This window comes from Homo sapiens, chromosome 10 (assembly GCF_000001405.40).
Source record: "Homo sapiens chromosome 10, GRCh38.p14 Primary Assembly".
NCBI classification, from domain to species: Eukaryota; Metazoa; Chordata; class Mammalia; order Primates; family Hominidae; genus Homo; species Homo sapiens.
The window spans coordinates 71,738,489-71,747,363 of NC_000010.11; the positions used below are offsets into that span (position 1 = coordinate 71,738,489).

At 54.6% G+C, this 8,875-nt stretch overlaps 1 protein-coding gene across 1 annotated transcript in view; it reads left to right on the forward strand.

Annotated features, from left to right (window-relative positions):
- Positions 1 to 8,875, forward strand: part of CDH23 (cadherin related 23) — a 419,028-nt gene that overhangs the window by 341,569 nt on the left and 68,584 nt on the right. The window contains exons 35-38 of the mRNA NM_022124.6: positions 10 to 159; positions 1,156 to 1,284; positions 2,334 to 2,462; positions 3,206 to 3,433. Of these exons, the coding sequence (NP_071407.4) occupies positions 10 to 159; positions 1,156 to 1,284; positions 2,334 to 2,462; positions 3,206 to 3,433 (636 nt within the window). The remainder of the gene's footprint in view (positions 1 to 9; positions 160 to 1,155; positions 1,285 to 2,333; positions 2,463 to 3,205; positions 3,434 to 8,875) is intronic.

Sequence of the window (8,875 nt, forward strand, 5' to 3'; positions counted from 1 at the left end):
CACCCTCAGGTCTACATCACTGTGCTGGACGAGAATGACAACAGCCCCCGGTTTGACTTCACCTCCGACTCGGCGGTCAGCATACCCGAGGACTGCCCTGTGGGCCAGCGAGTGGCTACTGTCAAGGCCTGGGACCCTGATGCTGGCAGCAATGGGCAGGTGGGCCACCGAGTGAAACAGCCAGGATCCACCATGTCAGCGGGGCTCCCACAGCTCTCACAGCTGGAGGGGCCTTCTGAGCCACCCCCATCACCAAGCACCAGGTTCTTCCGGTCTCTGCCCCTGCAATCACCCAGTCTGTGGTCAGGGAGAAGGGACAGAGCTGCCTCAGAGCTATGCAGGCCGGTGGCCCTGCCTGGGTCATGTGGACATGGAGCCCGAAGGCCAGCCAAGGCGCAACCCCTCAGTGAAGTTGTTTTCCGGGTAACTCCTTCCCACGCAGCCCCAGCTCCCTGAGAGGACATGCTCGTCCTCTCTCCTGCTTCCTAGGCCCAGCCCCATGGCAGGAGGCGCTTGCTGTCGCTCCAGGTTTGGACACCCCAGAGTGCAGAGGGAGAAGTGATGAAACCCGCCAGTGTTCACACAGCTTTCATCTGTTCCGTGCATTAGGCCGTGTGTTTGCGGGTGTTAGCATGGCTTGCATGGTCTAGGGGGTCGAGGGATGCTGGCTTTGGAGACAAAAGTGTGTAGGTTCAGACCTCTGGCATTTGCAAGCTGTGTGACCTTGGCTGGTTGTTCCATGTTTCTGAGCCTCCTCTCTGTGAACTGAGAACAGTTGCTTTCTGTCAAGGTTGCCGTAAGAACCAAGTAGAGTCCAGGTAATGCCGCAGCGTGTGCCCACCCCAGCAGCGTGAGCACAATCCCCTCTACCCTGGGAAGACGTCAGTGCCATGGGACTCAAGCCCCACTCTTCCAGGCCAGGATACTGATATCTCCTAGCCCCGGAACTTTCCATGGGTGCTACACTACCTCCATGGGCCTGCACCCCCATTTTGAGGGAGATGAATCACTTCTGCTTAAAACACTGCACTCCCAAAAGCCCTTGCTCAACAGAGGGCCCACGTGGGCAGAGGAGGACCAGGGAGTCCCCCTTGGCTTGACCTGGCCACCTCTCCTCCACACCTGCTCACCCCTCACCCTCTCTTCTCCCCACAGGTGGTCTTCTCCCTGGCCTCTGGCAACATCGCGGGGGCCTTTGAGATCGTCACCACCAATGACTCCATTGGCGAAGTGTTTGTGGCCAGGCCCCTGGACAGAGAAGAGCTGGATCACTACATCCTCCAGGTGGGGCCTGGCCTCCCTTGGACTGAGAGACCACTGGCTAAGTGCCTAGACCGGTCACTACTCTCCATCCAGGAGAGAGCCTGTCCATCAGCACACTCTGGTGGTCAGTGCCCCTGCTGTCACCAAGTAACATGGGGCCAGCTGCACCCATCGGGGCCAAGAGCACAGTGAGGCTGACCCAGGATAGGGAAACCTGGGAGGGACCTTAGATACCCAGGAGGAGGTAGTTGAGGTGTCTTCCCCTGCTGTAAGAGCCAGGAGGATGAGGGAGAGCCTGGTGGAGCTGGGAGAGCCCCAGCTCTTCTACAAATACAGTGTGGCCTTGGACAGGTTATTAACTCTGGGCCTCATTTTCCCCACCTATGCAATGTACAAAAAAATCCCCGTCTGGCCTGCCCTGTGGAGGGAAGAAGCAAGTGCAGGCTTGAGGAGCCACGAAGGCTATCATTATTGCAGAATGGCCATGGCTGGGATGTTTGCCAAGGGCTTTCTGGGAACCTCAGGACTGCGCTTCTGCAGAGGGCTCAGCTCCTGCAGCACTTATGACTGCATCAAGGCTCCCAGGAACAGGCTCAGCCATAGGGCGCCAGCTCATTGCTTATAATATTACTTGAGGCTCTTTTCCCGTTTGCCAGAGATCATGGGACAGAGTGCGTGGGACAGAGGCCTTTGAAGCTAAAGACAGGAGCCTTGGGTCAGGTTGCAGGCCCAGGGTCATGGTCAAAGGCTGGCACAGCCCAGAATACAGTCAGAGGTAGGTCAGGAGGTCAAGGCTTGGGTACATGTTAATCAGATTCCAAACGAGGATCCCAAGTCAGACGACGATTGGGCAAGAATCATTTGCAGCATGGGGCAGAAGGTGAAGGCTTTGGGGAGAGCCCAGGGCTGGCCGGGAGAGCCCAGGGCTGGCCAGGCCACCCAGGGGTTCTCAGTGAGTCTCTTTGCCCTCCCAAATGCTCCCCACTGATTGCACAGCCCTTTTGGACTCCATATTCCCAATCCTGCCCGCCACGCTTTAGCCCTGACTCCAGTTGCCCTCCTCCTTGCAGGTTGTGGCTTCTGACCGAGGCACCCCTCCACGGAAGAAGGACCACATCCTGCAGGTGACCATCCTGGACATCAATGACAACCCTCCAGTCATCGAGAGCCCCTTTGGATACAATGTCAGTGTGAATGAGGTGAGGGCAGCCCCGGGGCCCATATAGCTGGACATACGGGGGGACCGTGGGCACGAGCCAACCATGCAGCCCCTGTTTAAATGTCTGCCTGGCCCACTGGTCCCTCAGATCTCATGGATGGGAACTGTGGCTCATTCGTAGTGATAGCCCTAACGCCTAGCCTGGATCCTAGAATGCAGTATCTTTTTGGAGTAGAGGAGAAGAGAAAAGAGAAAAAGAAGAAAGTTGCCTTTCACCAGACAGGAAACTGAGGTTTACCCCGGGAGCTTGCTTTTTTAAAAAATGTATTTATTATTCAGCCCTAAGACTGAGCCACTCCAATCTGCCCTGGCATTGCTGGGTATCATGCTAGGTTGGACGTTCATGAAGGCAGGATGACATGTGGCCAGAGTCTAGCTCTCAGGCCAGACTCCCTCACTTCAGCCCACTGATTGGCTGTGTGGACTTGCACACATTCCTTCCCTGCACCTCAGTTTTCTCTTCTGTAAATGAGGATGATGATGCCAGTACCTAACTCACAGAGTTGGAGAGAGGACCCAGTGAGTTAATGCAGGCCCCAGCATATCAGAGGTGCTCACAGAATGTTCGCTGCTATCATCCTTATTATCTCCATCATTGCTCTGGGGTAGATGCAGCAAAGCTTTTGGGAGGTACAGGGGGAGCCTTCGGGCTACAGGAGCAGGTGCCAGACTGTGCCCCAATGCCTTGAGTCCAGAATGACTGCTCTCCTGCTCTCCTCCCAGAACGTGGGTGGAGGTACTGCTGTGGTCCAGGTGAGAGCCACTGACCGTGACATCGGGATCAACAGTGTTCTGTCCTACTACATCACCGAGGGCAACAAGGACATGGCCTTCCGCATGGACCGCATCAGCGGTGAGATCGCCACACGGCCTGCCCCGCCTGACCGCGAGCGCCAGAGCTTCTACCACCTGGTGGCCACTGTGGAGGACGAGGGCACCCCAACCCTGTCGGTGAGCGATGGGGGTGGCCACAGGGAGGAGCGGGTGGGCCAGGGCAGCTCCGCCTCCGAGTGAGGGGAACAAGATGGGTGAGAATGGAATTCCACACAGCAGGCGAATCCTTGACAACTCCTTTAGTCCATCTGCCTTTAGTCCATCTGCCCAAGATGGCCTCCCCTTACGGAGGCCTGTTGCGTGCAAAGCTGGGGTGCTAGTTTGGCCTCCCGAGTCTATAGCTACTCAGAAGCTCTGTTTAGTCCTCTTTTCTCTCACAGAGCAGCTCTATGGGGTGGTACAGGTTGAGCCTCTGTATTGGGGCCTGGCCCAGGGAGCAAGTGGGTATGAATCTAGCCCCCGCTTCACTTGCCCACCTATGCACTGTGAGGTCACACCAATGTGCATGGTGGTGTCTTACAGAAAGGGTGCCTCTCTGGCCCTCTTCCCCTACATTGTGTGGTGTGGCATGCTGTCACAACACGTCAGGGTGGGAAGGGATTCGTGTCTGTGGTTCACACTAACGCTCGAATGAACAGCACCACTGCCCAAGGCAATGTTCAAAGTTTGCCAGGTGAGGGAAGGACTTGTGGTCCTCAAGGGCTGGATGGAGATCTCTAGGAGCTGATGAGCTGTGTTGGGAGTGGCTTATAAACTGAAAGCAGGGAATTTGGAGTCAGGAGCACTGTGGCTGGCTGCATGATCTTGAGCAAGTCAGAACCTCTCAGCATATCGCTTTTGTCATCTGCAAAAGGGAGATAATATCTACCTCATAGGTGTTGTTTGGGGAATCAAATTAGCTCATGTCTGTGGAAGCACTTGGTAAACCATGAGGAGGAAGAGGACTGTTATTAGTTCTCTATTGCCACAATAATGCTGCCTTACAAACCAAACAAAACAGAGGAGTAAAACAATAACCACATAGTTAGCGCTAATTCTGCAGGCTGGCAATCTGGACATGGCTTAGCCGGGTGGTTCTTCTGGTCTCAGCTGGGCTTCTGCATTTGTATGTGGGCAGCTGCCTGTCAGCAGGGTGCTATGCTTCTGAGGGTTGGCTCGCCAGCAGCTGGGGTGACAGGGACAACTCATCCTCCAGAAGGCTAGCCCGTGCCTGTTCTTATGGGGCTGGAAAGTGTCCAGAAGAGACAGCAGAGGCGTGCAAGGCCTCTTGAGTCCCTGGCTTGGAACTGGCACAAGGTCACTTCTACCACAATCTGTTGGCCAAAGCAAGTCACAAGGCCAGCCCAGACTCAAGCTATGGGAAAATAAACTCTACCTTCTGAAGGAATGAGCTACAAAGTCACACTGCAAAGAGTGTGGTTACAAGGAAGGTGAAGAGTTCAGGGACAGTTTTGTAATCTGTCTCCTGGAAGGACCCTGATTGCAAATGAGGCCCCAGCTCTGTCCCTCTCATAGCAGGTTAGACCTCTCCCCTTTGACAGCAGCACTGTGGGAGGTGGGGTCACACCAGGTCTGGGCAGGGCTCTTTGTCTGGAGCTTCTCTGGAGATGTTGGTCCAATAACTCCAGGAATTGGGATTGGGTTAATAATCCAGGAATCCCCACCCCACCACAACATTCTGAGGAGTCCAGGAAATGAGACTGACTCTGGGCACCCCTGTGGGCATCCTTAGCCCCATGGCTGCACAGTGTCATCACTAGCCACCTCAGCCATTCACACCCAGTGGGCTAAACAAGGATACATTTATAGGACACGTGTCACTCACTGGGCAGGGTGGGGCTGGGGCAGAGAGGGGTATCATTTATTGTGTTAACGTGGGAGGACCCAGTTTCGACATGACCCCACCCCACTGCACTTGGCTTCAGGGTGGATCATCTTGGTCGTCCCTTCAATAGCATTTGTGAAGTAACAGAAACTGACTATGGAGTCATAAAGAATCAAAATGCATTTTCCTACAGAGCAAAAATTCTACAGAGAATGTGGATTTCAGGCTCAGAGGTGTCAGAGCTCATGTTTCTTGGCCTTTCCCTCATGGTGGCAAGATAGCTACTATAACTCTAGGCATCAAGTCAGCATCCAAGGCAGGAAGATGACAAAAAGATGGCAAAGGGCTATGGCAGCTACTTCTGCCCTTTTATCAGGAAAGCAACAGGTTTCCCAGAACCACCCTCCAGAGTGCTGCTTGTGTCTCCTTGGCCAGAAGTGGCTCACGTGGGCACCCTAGCTGCAAGGGAGGTTAGAAAAAATGAGGGACAGGATTATCATGGTCAGCATATTACTTGGGGGCCAGATATATCACTTCCCACACAAAAGCAGGCCTCTGTCAGTGAGGAAGAAGTGGAGAATGGATTTGGGGTGGGCATCTGACAGCATTTGCCACACTGCCCTCCCCAATCCTAATGCAGGCCAGTCAACGCACCACCCCCACTCCCCACCCACACTCCAACCCCCACAGTCCTAGGGTCTCTCAGGGAGACCATCGGTGGAATCCATAACATTCTAAGACCCTGCAGTTTGTAGGCAAAATCAGGCTTCCTTTGGGTCCCCAGAATAAATGGGAATTGAAGAAATGGAAAATCACCCTGGCCACAGTTAATCACCCAGAATGCATGGGCCACTATCCAAGCAATCCTTTAAAATCTTGGGATTGGTCCCCATGGCTAAAAAGAGTTTCCATCTGCTGGCCAAACCCTCTGCAGGGACCCATCCCACCCCTTGGGGAGCATAAGCATTCCCACCTCACATGTCAGCCCCTGACATTCTGGTTCTCACTGAAGCAGGGCTCAGCCCATACCAGCTCCCCGGTGAGAGCAGGAGAAGCTGGGTAGCATCCGCCCTGCTCATCCTGGTCATCACCAGCTCTGCTCCCTGAGGCCCCAGAAAACACCCTCAGGATGATTAGGACCAGGGACCCTGAGGCCATCCATCTCCAGGGGAATATATATGGGGCTTCCTGGGCTGAACCATGATGCTTTCTTCCAGACCGTAATATAAACAGCAACAGGTACCAACTTGAAAGATGTATAGGAAAACAATTTTAAGTCGAAAAGAATCCATCCATCTTCAATTTTTCCCCCTGCTTCTCCAAGTTGGGAAAATATTGCTATCATTTGGTTTTTGCAGGGGACACCTCAGTGAAGAATTGCAGTGACCATAGGGACATAGAGAAACTAGCACTAAACCATATTTATTCATTCATTCACTCATTCACTCATTCACTCATTCATTCATTCAGCCATTGTCCCTGAATGGCCACTATGTGCCAGGCACTGGAGATACCGAAATGAAGAAAATGTGGTCTGTGGCCTGAAGAAATGAAGTTGAGTAAGGGAGGCAATGAAAACACTGGTGTGCAATGGGGCACTGAGAAGGGCTTGGGGAAGGCTTCCTGGAGGAGGTGACACCTGGGCCGAGTCTTGTTGGTCAGTCTTGGTTAGCACAGCCAAGAAAGAAGCATATTCTGGGGTTCAGCCTGCACAAAGGCTGAAGAGCAAGCAATAATCAGGGATGGGTTCTGGGAGCCACAGGTGGTTTAGGCCCGGGGCTGCTTCCAAGGCCAAGGGCAGGACTCTCTATTTCCATATCCTCCCGGGACAGTGTATATGGGACTCGCCATAAGAGCTGCTCCCGCTGCCTTCTCAAGACCCCCCCTCTACTGCCTCCATGCCTGGCCGAGCCAAGGTGGGGATGGGGCAGAGCTAGCAAGCAGGGGTCCTGCAGCCCACAGTGCCTACCAGGGTAGCTTGCCTCCAAGGAGCACTGGACCCTTGAAGATTTGCTTCCACTGACCAGACCCTCAACTTTGGGCAGTAAACCCCTCAGGGTTATGAATATCCCCAAGAGCAGAGCCCTTCTCTGCCTCTGGGCAGATTTCACTGGATGCGTGTATGAGGAAGGAGCATTGTCCCAGCCCCTCCTAGAGCAACCAGAGACCTGAGCAGCATGCAGCCAACCACCCTGAGATTCCAGGAATGGCTGCCACAGTCTAATGGGTGAGACAGCAGCTGCTACCCTGCATAGATCCATCCAGAGAAAGCCAGCAGGCCCACTTGCCATCCTTTTACTCCCACTGCAGTTATCTGCCTGGCTTCAAAATGGCCTTCACTGGCTCAGGACCAACCTTGCTGGAGGACAAGGGCATGAAAGATTCATTCATTTGTTCATCCAACACCAAGTATGTGTTATGTGTGAGGCCTGTAGTACAGGCTAGGACACCAGAGATACATCAGGCACAGGTCTGCCCTCCAGGAGCCTACGGTCTGGCAGGGGAAGGCACATGTACTGGAGAGCTGACACTGTGATGTGGTAGAGTGCTAGGAGCCTGGAAGCCAGGGCAGGTTTTCTGGAGGAAGCATCATTTGCATCCCTGTTTTGAAAGATGTGGCTCCCTAAGCAGGGGGCCTGAGATTTGGCTGCTAAGACCCTCCCCAGAGCCAAGAGAAATTCTCTGAGTCCCTCCAGCTCTACTTTTCTCCCTGAGACCCTCGTCCCCCCAGGTTCCTGAGAGCTGGACATTCCTGCAAACAGCCTAGGCCACCCCCATCCGGCCTCAGCCCATATCACCCGAACTCGGAACAGCTGTGCTGCAAGGGGTATCTGGGCCAGACCCAGGCCCGCCACACAATGGTGTGCCACTGGCCGGGGGAGTCATTGTGGAGCCTCAGCCCCTGCCTAGCTCCAGGCCATGGGAAGACAGGCCAGGCTTGGGGGAGGGGTTTAAGTGGTTGTCAGGGAGGCCCCTGCAAAGGAAGAGCTGGGCCCAGGGAGGAAGGGCGGAAGGTAACTGGGAGGTCAGGAGTTAGCCCAACCTCAGAGGCACTTGGCAGTGGGGTGGAGAGGGAGGGAGGGCCTAACTGTGGCCTCCCTGCCACGTGAATTGCAGCCAACCGATACTACTATTCCAGATAAGAAGCCCTGGCTTCTCAGGCTGGTGAGGACCTGCAGAAGTCACCTATCCAGGCAGAAGGACAGAAATCTCCCACCGCCCCCTTCTGGTATGCAAGTCCCCAGCAGCGGCCCCGTGACGGTCTATGAGCTGGGGACACTGCTCTTGGCAGTACACCTCATGTCTTTAGAGCAGAGGCCCCTTCTGTTTATTAGACTTGGACCCTGCTATTGTGAACTCTGCTTCCCCTGGCTTGAGATCAGAAGGTCCCAGCCTGGCCCTCACCCTCTGTGGCACCAAGAAGGCTGGCCTTCCCTGACCCAGCACAAGTACATCCAGACCCTTCCCTTGGCCTGGCTTCTTGAGGGATGTTCCACAGCTGCCCAGATGCTCCACATACAACTGGCTAAGTTCCTCCAAGAGACCCTGGGGCTCAGCTGCTGAGGGTTTCTCCCTTCCCCATCCCCTAATGCAAGCAAGAGGGGTGCATGGGCCACTGTGCCTATCAGGAGTCCTCTAGCTCCACAGTTGGCAGGCAGAAAAGGGAGTGGCAGGAGCTGATATGGAAGGAGCCTACCCATCAGCAGCAGCGTCTTCTGGACCCAGAAGAAGGC